Source organism: Homo sapiens, chromosome 14 (genome assembly GCF_000001405.40).
Source record: "Homo sapiens chromosome 14, GRCh38.p14 Primary Assembly".
In the NCBI taxonomy this organism is placed as follows: Eukaryota; Metazoa; Chordata; class Mammalia; order Primates; family Hominidae; genus Homo; species Homo sapiens.
This window is the reverse complement of record NC_000014.9, coordinates 65,412,625-65,430,450: the sequence shown is the minus strand read 5'-3', so window position 1 is coordinate 65,430,450 and position 17,826 is coordinate 65,412,625. Positions and strand designations below refer to the sequence as shown.

Genomic DNA, 17,826 nt, shown 5'->3' with positions numbered 1-17,826 from the left:
TTTCATTTACATTGACATTTTTCCAATTACACAACTCATATTTCAGTATTTTATATGTATTAAAAATTCAGTGGGACTTTTAAAATAAATATGGCATAACACATTTTCAAAAGAACATTCTTGGCTGGTGCAATGGCTTACCCCTGTAATCCCAACATTTTGGGTGGCCGAGGTGGGCAGGTCGCTTGAGCTCAGAGTTCGAGACCAGCCTGGGCAACACAGAGAAACCCTGTCTCTACAAAAAATATCAAAAACAAAAAAAAATTAGCTGGGCGTGGTGGTATGTGTCTACAGTCCCAGCTACTCAGGAGGCTGAGCTGGGAGGATAGATTCTGCCCCAGGGGTCGAGGCTGCAGTAAGCCATGAAAGCACTACAGCACTACAGCCTGGGCAACAGAGTGATACCCTGTCTCAAAAAAAAAAACAAAAACAAAAAAAGATTCTTGCAATAAGAACAGTCACCTCAGAGAGTTCTACATTTATTTCCATAACGCTGACACTGACATTTCATAAAAAGCTTTGGGATTCAACTTTTGTAGCTGCTTTAAAGTCTCTTGTAAGTCTTTTTTTTTTTTTTTTTTTTTTTTTTGAGACAGTCTCACTCTACTATCCAGGCTGGAGCGCAGTGGTACAATCTCAGCTTACCGGCAGCCTTGACCTCCCGTGCTCAAGTGATCCTCCCAACTCAGCCTCACAAATGGCTGGGCCTACAGGCACACACCACCACACCCGGCTGATTTTTTAATTATTTGTAAAGATGGGGTATCACCATGTTGCCCAGGCTGATCTCAAATTCCTGGGCTCAAGCAATCCTCCCATCTCAGCCTCCAAAATGCTGTGATTACAGGCATGAGGCACCATGCCTGGCCTGCTTTAAAGTCTTAATATAATGTTTATAATATTGTCAGAGTGACAAATCTTCATAAAATAAACATAGTTTTGATTTGGAGATATTTGTTATCAAAAAGTGGTTTACCTACATTGGAAATGCTACTTTTGAACAAAAAGTGTGACTCTAAAACATGAAACAAATTTTCTTACGCCGCTGTAATGACACCATCATTAAAATACATTTATAGCTACATTCCCCTCCTCCAGTGTCTGCTCTGTGGGTTATCACTCATATGCTCTAGTATGTTGGGTAAAAATAAAGTTCAATCATTTAATAGCCATACTTCCTACTACTGTAGGTAAAATAACAAGCCCTGAAGGTTTCTAAAAGTCAAATTATTGATTATTTGAAAGCAGTTACAACACTGATTTTTAAATTTAGGCAGCTGTGATTCAATTCTCTTTTTTTATACTATACTGAAAATGAACATTACTCTTTTAGCATATACCTGACACCAGCCTACTCAGTCAATTGTCTACTCCTGTTACAAACACACACATATACACATGTACACTATTTTTTAAATCCCCCATACATGTATTGTTTTCCTAGTTTATAACCTGAATGTTACCTGTCAGCTTTGCCTCTAGGACAACCTTCCCAATGATAGTCATGCACTTTCCTTCGTTCTTCTTGAAAAACTATCTAACCCCACTTGACTACCTTGAGTGCAGCTTGGCACAAACTTCACTGAAATTGTTCCAACCCACTTTCTACTCCCAAAACAAAAAACTAAAACAGCATATAGTCTTGTACTTCTCTTCATAACAAGTTTCAATCACTTTTGAAGCTCTACCTCACAGAATTATTCAACTATGGCTTTGTTCTCGTCAAAAATCTTTATTAACTCAGCATTTAAGATTATCCCCATCCTCAGAGTTGTATGTGTGAACTAAGAAATGCCCAAGAAAATGTTTAATCACCCATCTTGATTCTTCCAGACAATTCCAAATTTGTTCATTGCTGAATCATCCATTAGACCATGTCTTAGTCCGTTTGGGGTGCTATAACAAAATACCTTAGACTGGGTAACTTATAAATGACAGAAATTTATTGCTTACAGTTCTGGAGGCTAGGAAGTGCAAGATCAAGGTTTGGTGTCTGGTGATGGCAGAAAGTGGGGGTTCAAGCTCCCTCAGGCCTCTTTAATAGTAAAGACACTAATCCCATTCCTGAGAGCTCTGCGCTCATGACGTAGGTACCTCCCAAAGGCCCCACCTCTTAAAACCATCAAAGTGAAGGTTAGGTCTCAACGTAAGAATTCTGAAGAGACATTCAGACCATAGCTGACATAAGCCTCATTTTTTTGATCCAGAAAAAGACACACACACACACAGTGGCTACATTTAAGAGGAAGAGTTAATGTACCTTTTAAGAAAAGGTCAGTGAATGTCTACCCAGCTGTGAAAAGTGGGATATAAGAAAGTCAAAATAATTCATTTTATGGAAGAAAAAGCAGAGGCCGAGAGGGGACAAGTGGTTAACCATGTTTATATATTTGGTGGCACACACTACTAGTATCCAAGTCTCCTGATTCCAAGTTCAAAGCTTTTGTACTTTATCCATTCATTCCCATTACTAAACAGAATCATGCTAAATGAAAGGAGGAGTACACAAAAGACTACACTATTGTATGATTCCATTAATATTAAAAATCAAGAAATGGCAAAACCATGGAGACAAAAAGCAGATCAGTGGTTGCCTGGAGCTGGGGATAGGCACAGGGAGTGACTGCAAATGGACAAGAATGGGTTTTTTGGAAGATGAAAGTTTTCTAAAACTGGATTGTGATAATTGTTGCACAACTATATAAATTTACTAGAACTTGAACTATGAATGTTATGGTATATAAATTATACCTTAATAATGCTATTTTTAAAATTACTAAGAAGGAATTCGGTATATAAGGAACTCAACTCAATAGCAAGAAAACAAATAATGCAATTAAAAAATGGGCTACAGACCTAAATAGACATTTCTCAAAAGAAGACATATAAATGGCCAATTGGTATATGAAAAAATACTGATGAACCATCACAAAAATGCAAATCAAAACCACAATTCTGTATCACCTCACGCCTGTTAGAATGGCTATTCACATAAAGACAAAAGATGAGGATGTGGAGAAAAGGGAATCTTGTACACTGTTGGTGGGAATGTAAATTGAGACAGCCATTATAAAAGAACAGTGTGGAGGTTCCTCAAAATATTAAAAATAGAACTACCATATGCTCCACCAATTCCACTTATGGGTATACATCCAAAGGAAATGAAATCAGTATGTCAAGGAGGTATCTGCACTCCAATGTTCATGAAAGCATTATTCATATAGCTAAGATATGGAGTCAACGTAAGCGTCCACCAATGGATAAACGGGTAAAGAAAATGTGTTATGTAGGCCAGGCGCGGTGGTTCACGCCTGTAATCCCAGCACTTCAGGAGGCCAAGGCGGGCGGATCACGAGGTCAGGAGATTGAGATCATCCTGGCTAACATGGTGAAACCCTGTTTCTACTAAAAATACAAAAACAAAATTAGCCGGGCATGGTAGCGGGCACCTGTAGTCCCAGCTACTAGGGAGGCTGAGGCAAGAGAATGGCCTGAACCCGGGAGGCAGAGCTTACAGTGAGCCAAGATCACACCACTGCACTCCAGCCTGGGCGACAAAGAGAGACTCCGTCTCAAAAAAAAAGAAAGAAAATGTGTTATGTGTGCATGTGTGTGTGCATGCTCACACACACAGGATTCATATTCAGCTTTTAAAAAGTAAGACAATCCTGTTGGAGTTTAAATACGCCATTCTGACATATTGACTATTTTGAGTCAAAGGCACTTGAAAAACAGCAGGTGTAAGAAGAGCGCTCTGACCTTTCTTCTATTTCTTAAAAGCAGATGAAATTCCCATGTGAATGATGTCCTCCTTAAACTAAAAGGAAAGCAACATTTTTATCATCAAGGACGGGATATGGAGACAAAGAGAATTCCATACAGACTTTGTTAAAATAACTTCTATCCTTTAAGCCTCCCCATATAATCCAGTTTATTTTTCACAAGTTATTATCCTTTGTCCAATTCAGTATGTAAGTATTCAATTCTAACTGTATCTTTGGGTCTGTTTCCTTATGAGGGCTCCTGTGCCACATAAAACTTGTATTGAATAAATTTGTGTGCTTTTCTCCTGATAATCTATCTTATGGTAATTTGTGAGGCCAAGCAAAAAAAAAAAAAAAACTTTAAAAAGGTGGAGGTAAAGTTTGCCTCCCCTTTACACTGTTATCTGCAAATAACATGGATGAACCCGAAGGACATTAGGCTAAGTAAAATAGGACTGGCAGAAAAAGACAAATACACGTACTACATGATCTTACTTATATATGGAATCTAAAAAAGGTGAACTCATAGAAGCAGAGAACAGAATGGTGGTTGCCAAGGGCTGGGGTGAGGAGGAAATGGGGAGATGTTGGCCAAAGGGTTATTCAGGATGAGTAAGTTCGAGAGATCTAACGTACAGCATGGTGACCACAGTTAATAATATTTATTGTACACACTAAATGTGCTAAGAAAGTAGATTTTTTTTTTTTTTGAGACAGAGTCTTGCACTGTCACCCAGGCTGGAGTGCAGTGGCGTGATCTCAGCTCACTGCAACCTCCGTCTTTCAGGTTCAAGCAATTCTCCTGCCTCAGACTCCCAAATACCTAGGATTACAGGGGCCCGCCACCACACCCAGCTAATTTTTTGTATTCTTAATAGAGATGGGGTTTCATTATGTTGGCCAGGCTGGTCTCAAACTCCTGACCTCATGATCCGCCTGCCTCAACCTCCCAAAGTGTTGGGATTACAGGCATGAGCCACTGCTCCCAGCCAGAAAGGAGATTTTAAATGTTCTCACCACACAAACACACAAAAATAACTATGTGAGGTGACGGATGTGTTAATTAGCATGATTGTGGTAAACATTTCACAATCTACACATATACCAAAACATCAAGTTGTACACCTTAAATATATACAATTTTTATTTGCCAATTATACCTCAATAAAACCAGGGGGAAAAAGAACATTTCATGTTTAAAAAAAAAAAAAAAAAAAACGGCCAGGCATGGTGGCTCATACCTGTAATCCCAGCACTTTGGGAGGGCGAGGCGGGTGGATCACCTAAGGTCGTGAGTTCTAGACTAGCCTGACTAACATGGAGAAACCCTGTCTCTACTAAAAATACAAAAAAATTAGCTGGGTGTGGTGGTGCATGCCTTTAATCCCAGCTACTTGGGAGGCTGAGGCAGGAGAATCGCTTGAACCCAGGAGGTGGAGGTTGTGGTGAGCCGAGTTCGTGCCATTGCACTCCAGCCTGGGCAACAAGAGTGAAACTCCGTCTCAAAAAAAAAAAAAGAAACTCCATTTTTTTTCTAATTGTTTTTAGCTTTAAACTCTTAGAGCTCTCAGGGCTTAAAACTTGAACAACACAGGTTTGAATTTTGAGGGTCCACTCATATGCTAATGTTTTTCAATAAATATGTTGATAAATTTGGGGGAGGTTTGTGACAATTTGAAAATATTCATAGACAACCATATAACCTAGAAATATCAAAAAAGTAGGCCATGTGCAGTGGCTCACACCTGTAATCCCAGCACTTTGGGAGGTCAAGGCAGGAGGATCATGAGCACTGGAGTTCAAAACCACCCTGGACAAGGGCAACATGGCAAAACCCTGTCTCTACAAAAAACACAAAAATGAGCCAGGCATGGTAGCATGCACCTGCAGTCCCAGCTACTTGGGAGGCTGAAATGGGAGAATCGCTTGAGTCAGAAGGCAGAGGTTGCAGTGAGCTATGATTGAATCATGACATTCCAGCCTGAGTGACAGAGTGAGACCCTGGGTCAAAAAAAGAAAAAGACGGGAGGCTGAGGTAGGAGAATCACCTGAACACCAGAGGTGGACGTTGCAGTGAGCCGAGATCGTGCCACTGCATTCCAGCCTGGGTGACAGAATGAGACTTCATCAAAAAAAAAAAAAAAAAAGAAAAGAAAAGAAAAATAGAAAGTAAGAGGTATGTCATGAGTGCTTAAAATATATGTAGATACTAGTCTATTTTATCATTTACTACTACAAATATATACAAATCTATTATAAAAAGTTAAAAATTGTCACAACTTATACCACACACTTAGCCACACATGGTGGCATTTGACACTGAGAGAAACCCTGTCTCAAAAGAGTAAAGATGCAGTATTAAATCATAACTACATAAATTTAACTGTACTACACCCTGTACTATTGAAATAATTTTGTAGCCACCTCCTGTTGTTAATGAGGTGAGCTCAAGAGTGAATATTTGCTTAAAGTACCATGTGACATTAATCATCTCCAAGCAAGCAGTTCATCTTTCCAATAAATTGTATATTCCAGTAAAAAGTGATCTCTCGCGGTTTCATTATGTTTAGTACGATACTATAAACCTCAAATGACACCTAAGTGCCACTAGTGATGCCGGAAGTGCTCCCAAGAAGCAGAGAAAAATCATGGCATTACAAGAAAAAGGTGAATTGCTTGATACGTACTGTAGATTGAGGTCTGCAGCTGCAGTTGCGTGCTACTTCAAAATAAATGAATCCAGCATAAGGGCCATTGTAAAAAAAGAATTCATGAAGCCATTGCTGAAGGCACACCAGCAGATGCAAAAATTGTGCACGTTTTGTGAAATAGTTTTTTATCTCATGTTGAAAATGTAGCTTTTATAGGGGTACAGGATTGCTATAAAGAAAGGCATCCCTATAAACTTTAATAAGTTTCAAGAAAAAGCAAAGTCATTATACAACTTAAAACAAATGGAAGGCGAAGGATCTAAAGCTGAAGAATATAATGCCAGCCACGGATGGCTTGATAATTTTAGAAAGAGTTTTGGCTTTAAAAACGTCACGATAACAGGAGAAGCAGCTTCTGCCAACCAAGAGGCAGCAGACGACTTTCCAGATGACATTAAGAAAATCATTCACTTAGGCCGGGCGCGGTGGCTCACGCCTGTAATCCCAGCACTTTGGGAGGCCGAGGCAGGCGGATCACGAGGTCAGGAGATCAAGACCATCCTGACTAACACTGTGAAACCCCAGTCTCTACTAAAAATACAAAAAATTAGCCTGGCGTAGTGATGGGTGCCTGTAGTCCCAGCTATTCAGGGGGCTGAGGCAGGAGAATGGCGTGAACCTGGGAGGCGGAGCTGGCAGTGAGCAGAGATTGCGCCACTGCACTCCAGCCTGGCCGACAGAGCCAGACTCCATCTCAAAAAAAAAAAAAAAAGAAAGAAAATCATTCACTTTGGGAGGCCGAGGTGGGCAGATCACAAGGTCAGGAGTTCGAGACCAGCCTGGCCGATATGGTGAAACCCCGTCTCTACAAAAAATACAAAAATTAGCCAGGCGTGGTGGTGTACACCTGTAGTCCCAGCTACTCAGGAGGCTGAGGCAGAAGAATCACTTGAACTCGGAAGGCGGAGGTTGCAGTGAGCCGAGATCGCGCCACTGCACTCCAGCCTGGGTGACAAAGCGAGACTCAGTCTCGAAAAAAAAAAAAAAAAAAGAAAGAAAGAAAGAAAATCACTGAGGAGGCCAGGTGCAGTGGCTCATCCCTGTAATCCCAGCACTTTGGGAAGATGAGGCAGGAGGATCGTTTGAGGCCAGGAGTTCAAGATCAGCCTGGGCCTGGGCAATACAGCGAGACCCTGCCTCTACAAAAAACATTTTTTTAATTAGCTGGGGGAAGGCATAATGGCTCACACCTGTAACCCCAGCACTCTGGAAGGCCCAGGTGGGAGGATCACCTAAGGCCAGGAGTTTAAGACCAGACTGGGCAACACAGTGAGACCCTGTCTCTACAAAAAAATAAAAAATATTTAAAAATTAGCCAGGCATAGTGGTGCACACTTGCATCCCAGCTATTCGGGAGGCTGAGGCAGGAGGACTGCCTAAGTCCAGGAGTTTGAGACTGCGGTGAGCTATGATCATGCCATTTGCATGTCAGCCTGGGCAATTGAGCAAGACCCTATCTCTTAAAAAAAAAAGAAATATGGAGAAAGAATATCCGCCTAAACAAGTTTTTAATATAGACAAAAGTGCCCTATTCTGGAAAACAATGCCATAAAAAACATTCATTAGTAAGGAAGAGAAAAAGCACCAGGATTAAAGGCAGGAAGGGATGGGCTAACTCTACTGTTTGGTGAAAATGCAGTGTGGTTTATGATCAGAACTGCCCTTATCTATAATGCTACAAACCCCCAAGCCTTGAAGGGAAAAGATAAACACCAGCTCCCAGTCTTTTGGTCATAGAACAAAAAAAGCCTGGGCAATGAGAACCCTTTTTCTGGATTGGTTCCATTGATGCTTTGTCCCTGAAGTCAGGAAGTATTTTGCCTGTAAGTTCTTTTATTATTGAACAATACCCCTGGCCACCCGGAACCCCATGAGTTCAACACCAAAGGTGCTGAAGTAGTCTACTTGCCCCCAAACAAAATGTCTCTAATTCAGCTTCTAAATCAGGGGGTCACGAGGATCACTGGACACAGTACACTACAGAAAGTACTGTCAACTCTATGAAAGAGAATGCCAATAAAGAAACCATCCTGAAAGTCTGGAAGGATTACACCACTGAAGAAGCCGTCGTTGTTATGGAAAAAGCCATGAAAGCCATCAAGCCTGAAACAATAAATTCCTGCTGGAGAAGACTGTGTCCAGATGTTGTGCATGACTTCACAGGATTTGCCACAGGGCCAATCAAGGAAATCACGAAAAAGACTGTGGATATGGCAAAAAAAAAAAAAGGGGGGGGTGGGTTAAAGGGTTTCAAGATACAAATCTTGGAGAAATTCAAGAAATAGACATCACACAAGAGGAATTTAAAAAGATGACTCGGTAAGTGCTTCCAATCCAGTACCAGGTAATGTAGAAGGAATGCAAGAAAACAAAATGACATCAGACGATATGGCAGAAGACTGTCTGATTGTTCAAGACTGCTTTTGACTCCTTCATGACATGGACCCTTCTCTGATATGGGCACTGAAACTAAAGCAAACGGTGGAAGAAGGATTGGTACCATATGGAAATGTTTTCAGAGAAATGAAAAAGCAAAAAAGGCAGAAGTATGACGTATTGCCATAAAGTTACACCATGTGTGCCTGCCTCTCACGCCTCCCCTTCCCCCTTCCACCTCTACCATGCTGAGACCAACAAGACGAATTCCTCCGCTTCCTTCTCCTCTCAGCCTACTCAATGTGGAGACAATGAGGATAAAGGCCTTTGTGATGATCCACTTCCACTTAATGAAGAGTAAATATATTCTCTCTTCCTTATGATTTTTTTTTTTTTTTTTTTTTTCCTGAGATGGAGTCCCGCTCTGTCGCCAGGCTGGAGGGCAGTGACACAACCTTGGCTCACTGCAACCTCCACCTTCTAGGTTCAAGCAATTCTCCTGCCTCAGCCTCCTGAATAGCTGAGACTACAGGCACATGCAACCACGCCCAGCTAATTTTTGTATTTTTAGTAGAGATGGAGTTTCACCATGTTGGCCAGGATGGTCTCGATCTCTTGACCTCAAGATCCGCCCACCTTGGCCTCCCAAAGTGCTGGGATTACAGGCGTGAGCCACGGCGCCCGGCCTATGATTTTCTTAATAACATTTTCTTTTCTCTAGCTTACTTTGAGAACACAGTATATAATACATATAAGGTACAATGTGTTAGTTGACTATGTCATCGGTAAGGCTGGAAGTCAACAGTAGTTTATTAGTAATTAAGTTTTTGAGGAGATAAAAGTTACATGTGGATTTTCATCTTGATGGGGGTCTGTGCCCCAAACCCAGTGCTGTTCAAGGGTGAACTATACGTGCTGAAAAGTGTCATTAAAATATGAAGAAACCAACTTTTCTCTAAACTTTAGATGCACTTCCCTGAATAATTTCCAAAGGTTGGGTATCTTATTTTCCAACCGTGCATTTACAAGCAGAAACAGCAAACGATAGGTACTATACTGATATACATGTAGAAATGAACACATGATCCCTATTAAAACATTTTCATTATTTATCATTATTTCCTTTCAGGTACTTCTGTACTACTCTAAGCCTCTGTAGACAGTCATATAGAGGATGTGTTCTGGCCAAGTTTGGTGGCTCACACCTGTAATCCCAGCATTTTGGGAGGCCAAGGGAGGAGGACCACTTGAGCCTAGGAATTCAACACCAGCCTGGGCAACAGAGCAAGACCTCATCTCTAAAATAAAATAAAAAATAAAAATAAAAAAAGGATGTGTTCTTTTCTTTGTTATCTAGTCTGACAAAAATTTCTCCAAAATAGACTTCTTTGGTAATTTTATTTTCATTACATCTTTATGCCATTAAAACCTAAACACTAATCTTTTTTTTATTATTATTAAGAGGAACTATTCCTAATTGCACATTACCAGGTTTCTGTTGCTTATTATTTGGTGCATCCTCAGTAGGTATACATCTTTTCAGCTTACTCAGCATTGAGAACATAATATTGTGTGTTTGTTTACTTACAAATTAAAAGTAACATTATATCTCTCATCGTATGCACACTTGACAACCTATGAGATGTATCAAGCAGATACTTCTAATATTTGAACCTTAAAAATAAACGGAATTTTAGTTGATAGAGGGCTGGATGTCTGTAATTATGTCACGAAGCAATCAGGGTTATCAGTACATCTACATTTCTCACGCTGTTGAGGGGGTCGGTTTACCAAGCATAAGACAGGACCTTTTGGCCTCAAGAATTTCAGTTACAACCTGCCTAACCCCTAGAGTTTCACTAAACTTCCTAAGAGAGAAAGAAAAACCTAAAACTTAGAAAAAGAAAGCAAATTGTTTACCCTGGCTTAGTTCTAATTGTAAAGAATCAACTTTCTCAAAATTACAATCTTTTGACATTTGGCAACTGAATGAATCAAGTAGTTATTCAGAGAGCTCAAGACATAAAAACTAATACAACTTCTATTATATATTTTTCTCCTTCAGGTACCAGTACAATTCCATGTGTTGGAGAAATTGAGTAAGTCAAATCCCAATTGATTAGGCCCTAATTATCAAAGACACTTTCACCTTGTGAACTTCTCACAGTAACTGTCTTAAACCTGCTAACAGTACTCCCATGAGTGGAGAACACTGTGCTTCATTTTTAGTTTAATATGTTAGTTCTCTTCAATGAACATAGTTTTTTTTTTTACATTACAGTAATGAGGCACATGAAGGTTAGAATTTGTTTTTGTTTTTTTGTTTTGTTTTGTTTTTTGAGACAGAGTTTCACTCTTGTTGTCCAGGCTGGAGTGCAATGGCAAGATCTCGGCTCACTGCAACCTCCGCCTCCTGGGTTCAAGTGATTCTCCTGCCTCAGCCTCCCGGGTTCAAGTGATTCTCCTGCCTCAGCCTCCCAAGTAGCTACGATTACAGGCATGTGCCACCATGCCCGACTAATTTTGTATTTTTAGTAAAGATGAGGTTTCTCCATGTTGGTCAGGCTGGTCTCCAACTCCTGACCTCAGGTGATCCACCTGCCTCGGCCTCCCAAAGTGCTGGGATTACAGGCATGAGCCACCGCGCCCGGCCTATAAAATCATTTTTAATAAATAATATTAAATGCTATACAAATGAAGTTCTTCTAGTCTCTTGCCTACCACCTCAAAAGGAAATGATATCATTATAATAAACCTATTATAACATAAAAGCTAATGTTTTACCTGGAAATGTTCTATGAACTCTAAGGAAAAAAGTATACTGTAAAGATGGTCAATTCCCGCATTTCTTACCATTGCTAGAAGAGGATGACAAACAAGGAGAAGTAAGTAGAGGGAAAGAGAAAAACTGAATAAATCTCCTTCATCTCCAAATAAGGCAAGCTCATCAACCAGTATGCTCCTCTCTCTATCTCCCTCTCTTCACTGACTGCCCCAAGGTCCCAGACAATACAGAATCTATAAATTATATCTGTCCACTTTACCACTAATTAAGATATTACTATCAATTGTATTAATTGTAAAAATGCTTAGATTAGCTTATGGAATGTTGGCTTAAGTCATTAAATAACATTACAATGCTTTTATTATAGTTTTGATGGTTTGTAAATATTGTTTATACTCTAACCAAATTTAATCTGGTTCTAGATATTATTAGAATTTGATATCTCATTTAAGGGATATTATAGAAAAATCAGTCACAACATTGATAAAAACTTAAAACTCATTCATTGTCCATTGAAAGTCTTGATCAAATAAGACTTAGACAGATACACAGGTTCATTTTAGTTATACGTTAAAGGTAATTAAGAGGACTCTCCCATTTTCATTTTACTTTTGTTCAAGTTTACAATCAGAAAGTTATAGCATTTATGCACTTTCAAGTTTATATCATGAAGTTTATTCATTAGAAAAACTAATTCTAACCGTCTTCATGTGCCTCATTGCTACATGATATAAACTCATTACTCAGGTTCTAAAATAAACATTAGCTTAATTTTCCATTTTCATCTAAGATTATTATCAATGTTTTATTATTTTATAATGTGAACTTTATACTGACCAGTCATCAAGGCTGTGACAAGATCTTTCAAGTTCGTTTTCATATTTATTCAGTTTATGGAAAAATAAATTTTAAAAACCCAAGTTATAAAATACAACAAATACAGTGAGCATTTCGTAGTGATCTTTAAAAGTTTTTCTTTTATTCCAGTGCTTCGAGGAAGAAGTTATAGTATAACTATACAATCACTATAGAAGAAAAGGCAGAATAGCAAAGGCAAATTTGAACCACATTAACACTACCCTTATATTGGTATAATTTGTTAATTAAAAGAAGATTTATAAATTCAAAACGTATTTCTCCTTCACATTGTCATTTTCTGACCAAAAAAAAGACTACCACAAAGAGGTATTTTTTTAAAGTAGATGGGTAAGAAAATTTAAATGAAATTAGCCCTATAACTCTGCTTTCAGTAAGAGTACAAAAGTAACCCTTATATTGACAAATACGGCATAATTCCATAGGTCCCATTTGCTCTTCCTCCGTTAAAAGGAAAATGTGTAGTATCATATAAAGTTTATATGGGTTTTATGTTCAGAATATTGTAGAGATTAAGAAAAACCTTTGCCTGGTGGGAGGTAAGATTAACTTTATTGGTTTGATTTCCCATTATTCCAAATGGAAGACTGTTGGATGATGGGGGGTAGCTGGGGAAAGGAAAAAAATGCCAGGAGATTAGAATGTTGAAAGAAAGAGAAGTTGAGATTTGAAACTAATCCATTTTTTAAAAATCTTACAACCAAGCATGGTAGCTCACGCCTGTGGGAGGCCAAGGTGGGATGATCACTTGAGGTCAGGAGTTCAAGACCAGCCTGGGCAACATGGCAAGACCCTGTCTCTTTTAAACTTAGAAACAAACAAACAAACAAAAATCTTTTTAATAAAATAAAGGAGCCGGGTACAGTGACTCACGCCTGTAATCCCAGCATTTTAGGAGGCCAAGGTGTGAGGACCACTTGACCCCAGGAGTTCAAGACAAACCTGGGCAACATACCAAGGTCTCATCTCTACAAATATTAAAAAATAATTAGCCACGCATGGTGGCATGCACCCATAATCCCAGATACTCCAGAGGCTAAGGCGGGAGAATGGCTTGAACCAGGGAGTTCAAGGCTGCAGTGAGCCGTGATCACGCCACTACTGCACTCCAACCTGGGCAACATAGAGAGACAACCCCCAACCCCAATCTCAAAAAAAAAAAAAAAAAAATTAAAGAAAATAAAATGTTAAATCTACACATCCCCATATAATATTCTTCTGTTGGAGATTTTTTTACAGGTTCTTTAAAAATCAGTCGTAAATATCTTTTACTTTTAAATATGTTTAATTGTTTCACTATAACAAGCTGCAATGTAAAAACAATTCAAACTCCAAGAAAGAAACTCCATACTATACGGTAGTGAAATATGAGCCAGAGAATCAATAAGAGGATGCTACACTACTGTTGAAGACCAGAAGTTGATATCTCCTTTGAAAAGTATCAACAGAAGCAGCATTGATGCAGGGTACAAAAGTACTATAATAAAGCTGGCTGTGGTAGCACATGCCTATAGTCCCAGCTACTCAAGAGACTGAGGTAGGAGGATTGCTTGAGCCCAGGAGTTCAAGGCCAACCTGGACAAAACAGCAAGATCACATCTCTTTGGGGGAAAAAAAAAAAAAGGTACCATAATAGTAATACTTTTAGTTTCAGAGTTGTTTAAAAATCTTAATTTTATGTTTAGTAAAGTAACTTATTCAAGTTTTTTTAAATATTTACTCTTATGATTGTAAAACTTTCTTTTATATTTATCAATTTGCTATAATATGAAATGATGTATCCACCATTTAACTAAATCAAGAGATTTATTAAATGCAGTTTATCATAAATCAAAAATAACCATTAATGAAATGGAAGAATCTATTTACTTTATCAGCATTGAGATTCTATTTACATAATGAAGAGCTATGGATAATAAACAGCCCAAACACTATCTGCAAAAAAACCAATATTCCAATGATTTTAATATACATATAACTATCAGTTTCTAGGCTTGGATTTAAAGAATATGTGAATGGAAAGAAGTAAATTAACATACTAATTTATTACAGCTTAGAAACCTAAATGAAATGCCACAGGCCACAAAACAACTGCTTCGTATTCAAAGGCACACATTCAATTTGGTAGATCAGCTGGACGCACTGCATTATACTGCAGGAGATAAGGGTTAAGTGACCTGGGGATATTGTTCTCCAGATGTCTAAAAGGTCCATTTTTTTATTGGAATTATCTCTACTTTAAAAAAAAAAAAAAAAGGAATTATATCTACTTTTGATAAATACCTAGCTTACCACACAATTAATACCTTCGCCCATATAAGATTCTACTTGAAGCTTCGTTTTTGAAATTTTAGGATTGTAGCTATTATAAAAACAAAATTTAAGAACACACAACATGTACAATGGGTCAAGAATACATGCCTTAGATTCTGATGAACAGGACAAGAAGGTTAAGAAAATACTATAACATACTCTAAGTTTGGGGGTACATTTTAGAGATTTTTAAGTGAGAAATCCAATAAATCTTTAAGCATTTAGCTTTCCATTATTGCAGCGCATGAAAAGACTTTTTTAAACTAATTTGTAATACACAATATATTCACTCCACAAATAACTATGTACATATATATGCCCACATCAATTTCCTACTCTTTTAATTAAAAATTTATGTTTCTTTTGGTCATAAAAATCTGGTTTTGGGTGTTTTAAAAGTTCAAACAGCTATTAAGCTATACTTTGCTTTGGCACTAGCTCCCCCTCCAGACCAATGTACTAATATAACAGCATTTTTAAAAATAATAAGTTAACAGTTTTTTCCAATCCACTGGCAAATTTTAAGATTCACCACTTTTAAGGACACTCCAATTGCGTAAAAATAACTGGTAAGAATTTGCAACAAAACAATGCAGGATGTAATCAGAATTAGTTTTGTTTTGTTTTTTTCGATTCCATACATCTTAAACAGAACTGATTTGTAGGAAAACAACTTCAGGTGACTTTTTAAATTCAAAAATATCCTCAAAATATAACCTATATAAGGCCGTACTTTATGGAAATTATTTTGAATCACTATCCTATTACACAAGACACTCTTCAAGTTAACTCACAACTTGACCAAAGATACATTTTTGCATCTGTTTCTGCAATCTATGCAAGTTTCATTCCAGCTGTTCAGCTCTTGAATTCAAATAGAATTCTCAATTTATAAGGCAGCAAAAAGAAAATCCATGTCTTGGAACTACCTTTGTACGTGTCTTATAGCCTATTCATCTCTAACTCCCTGCATTTTTTACACACTAAACCTGTGAAATCACAATTACAAATGCTTGAATTCCCACCTTTTCAATACTACTGTAGTATTTACAAATCAAGTAATTAAGATTTTCTATACACATACCAGATTTCACAAGGACAGCAAGGTACAGGGCCTTATTATTTGGCATAGGGTTTTAAGATGTTTTTACAGTTATTTTAAAGAGCAGAGACTACAACTCCATTATTTCTCATATATCTGATATACTGTAGTGCTTAAATAATAATTTCTCTCCTAAAATACTTTCTATATGATGCACCTATTTAAAGAATTAGTCATAAAACATAGAATGTAAATTTAATCAAGAAAATAAACATGCACCTAACCGCCGGAATAACAAGAAAAAAAAAATCTATAATGAAACCTGCCTACAGTTTTCATAGAGGCAAGCCAGTTAAGTCAGTTACTTGAGATGCGTTTAACTCTAAACTGACACAAAACTTGTGTTGAATTTGTTCCGCAAAACCTTGAAATTTGGGGTTATGTACTACAGAATTTGGCTTTTCTGGGTCCACCTTCCTGAGTGGGTTTAAATAAACTGTGAATAATTAAAACATAGGAAGGAAAAAAACACCACCTGTCCGTGCCTTTAACCAAGGCCTCAATCTATATATTATATGGCAAAATGCTAAAATAAAAGCTCATCCGGGACAAACCCTAAGCATGACACTGCCACTTAAGAAATACACTGCGTCTCTGAAGATTGCAATCCCCACTGTGAAGAAAGAACAGGTGCTGCACCCGACAACCCACTCAATCCTGCAGGACAAACCTCCTAGAACTGATAAATATGGACTCATTTAACCTTCCCAAATAAGTTGATACTCAAAAGCCGCCAGCTCGTCATTTGCACATCAAAAGGGAGTACAGCTGCACTCAAGCCTTTAACTGCCCTGCATCAGTCCCTCGCGGATCTTTGTGAGGGTCCACTCCCTGCTTTCTAGCCCGAGCAGCACTCAGAAAGAGCCCATAACGCACGGGCATCTTCCTCCCCACAAACCGCGACTCCAGGGACCGAGCTGCTGACGAAGGGAAGGTAGGTGTGGAGGGGAAACGACGGACACCTCCCACCCCCGCCCCCAACCCTTCTCCTTCCCTAGGCTTTGGCCCCTGCCCTAGGCAAGGATGCGCGACGCCGAGGGCAGCAGCGGCGCAGCTCCGCGTCCCGGCTGGAGAGGCGGGCGCCCCTCACCCTCTGCCCGCGCCCCCGGGGCTGCGCCAAGGCATCCGCCAGAGCGTCCCGGGGGCTCCCTCCCCACTTTTCCGAGAGCCGCTGGTTAACCGGCAGCAGTTGCAGCAACAGGCCCGGGTGAACGAGCAGGGACAGCCGCGGAGCCTCCTCAGATCCCGCGCGCAGCCCAGCCCAAGACCCCGAGGCGCGCGGGGCCCGGCTCCCAAAACGCCCCCTTACCCCAGGCGGGAGCAGAGGCGGTCTCCGCCGCTCCCCGTCGCAGCTGCCAAAGCCACAGCCCTCAGCCGCAGCTGCCCCACGATGGGGGAGTGGGAAGGGTGGCTGAGTGGAGGATGCTACTCCCGACCGAACGGAGAGGAAGAAACGGAAACAGGAACCGCCGCCGCCGCTTAACGGAGCCTTCGGCGCCACTGACTGAGGCAGAGCGCGAGGCGGCGCGAGCCGGGCAGTCGCTGACAGCGCGAGACCGAGAGCGAGCTGGGTCCAGGGCGCGCGACCCTGAGCAGTGCCGGCCCCATTCCGCGGGGAGACGAAGGGACGGGTCGGCTGGGGCCAGGCGGCGGGGGTGGGATGGGGAGGGGGCCTGGAGAGGAGGGAACCGGCTGCTCGGGTCGGCCGGAGATAACGCGCGCACGCGCCGGAGCGGCTCTGACAACGAGCGCAGGCGGGGAAGCCTCGGCCAGCGCCGGCGTGCGCGCGCGAATGGGGGAGCGCGCCCCTCGGCGTTCCTGGCTTCTGGGAGAGGGCGCGCATGCGCCGGCCGCTGCCACCTACGGCGACCCTGGCATGTGCCAGGGATTCTCCCCGCC

General features: G+C 40.2%; 1 protein-coding gene across 11 annotated transcripts in view, besides 8 other annotated features; it reads right to left on the bottom strand.

The window, feature by feature from the left end:
• The window catches only part of FUT8 (fucosyltransferase 8), a 387,280-nt gene that overhangs the window by 313,671 nt on the left and 55,783 nt on the right, over nt 1-17,826 (bottom strand). Inside the window, exon 2 of one of the 11 annotated variants that reach the window (NM_001371534.1) lies at nt 142-235. The exons of 9 other annotated variants lie outside the window; for them this stretch is intronic. The gene's annotated coding sequence lies outside the window, so the exon portion shown is untranslated. Of the gene's footprint in view, nt 1-141; nt 236-17,236; nt 17,722-17,826 lie in introns of those variants that run through there. One more of the 11 variants, NM_001371533.1, reaches the window with a different exon arrangement.
• Nucleotides 4,397-4,466: an enhancer, noted in NCBI's record as "active region_8564". NCBI's record gives its function as "activates an Ori minimal core promoter by ATAC-STARR-seq in GM12878 lymphoblastoid cells {active_cell/tissue: GM12878}" and the evidence as "EXISTENCE:reporter gene assay evidence [ECO:0000049][PMID:35858748]".
• Nucleotides 4,954-5,154: a silencer, noted in NCBI's record as "peak2171 fragment used in MPRA reporter construct". NCBI's record gives its function as "represses an SCP1 promoter by STARR-seq MPRAs in K562 erythroleukemia cells {active_cell/tissue: K562}" and the evidence as "EXISTENCE:reporter gene assay evidence [ECO:0000049][PMID:32103011]".
• Nucleotides 10,834-11,034: a silencer, noted in NCBI's record as "peak2170 fragment used in MPRA reporter construct". NCBI's record gives its function as "represses an SCP1 promoter by STARR-seq MPRAs in K562 erythroleukemia cells {active_cell/tissue: K562}" and the evidence as "EXISTENCE:reporter gene assay evidence [ECO:0000049][PMID:32103011]".
• Nucleotides 16,416-16,980: an enhancer, noted in NCBI's record as "NANOG-H3K27ac hESC enhancer chr14:65880189-65880753 (GRCh37/hg19 assembly coordinates)". NCBI's record gives its function as "activates a minimal SCP1, AML or CMV promoter by ChIP-STARR-seq in naive H9 embryonic stem cells {active_cell/tissue: H9 hESC(naive)}" and the evidence as "EXISTENCE:reporter gene assay evidence [ECO:0000049][PMID:30033119]".
• Nucleotides 16,416-17,092: a biological region, named in NCBI's record as "NANOG-H3K27ac hESC enhancer GRCh37_chr14:65880189-65880753".
• Nucleotides 16,903-17,092: a silencer, noted in NCBI's record as "silent region_5852". NCBI's record gives its function as "represses an Ori minimal core promoter by ATAC-STARR-seq in GM12878 lymphoblastoid cells {active_cell/tissue: GM12878}" and the evidence as "EXISTENCE:reporter gene assay evidence [ECO:0000049][PMID:35858748]".
• Nucleotides 17,103-17,222: a silencer, noted in NCBI's record as "silent region_5851". NCBI's record gives its function as "represses an Ori minimal core promoter by ATAC-STARR-seq in GM12878 lymphoblastoid cells {active_cell/tissue: GM12878}" and the evidence as "EXISTENCE:reporter gene assay evidence [ECO:0000049][PMID:35858748]".
• Nucleotides 17,523-17,682: a silencer, noted in NCBI's record as "silent region_5850". NCBI's record gives its function as "represses an Ori minimal core promoter by ATAC-STARR-seq in GM12878 lymphoblastoid cells {active_cell/tissue: GM12878}" and the evidence as "EXISTENCE:reporter gene assay evidence [ECO:0000049][PMID:35858748]".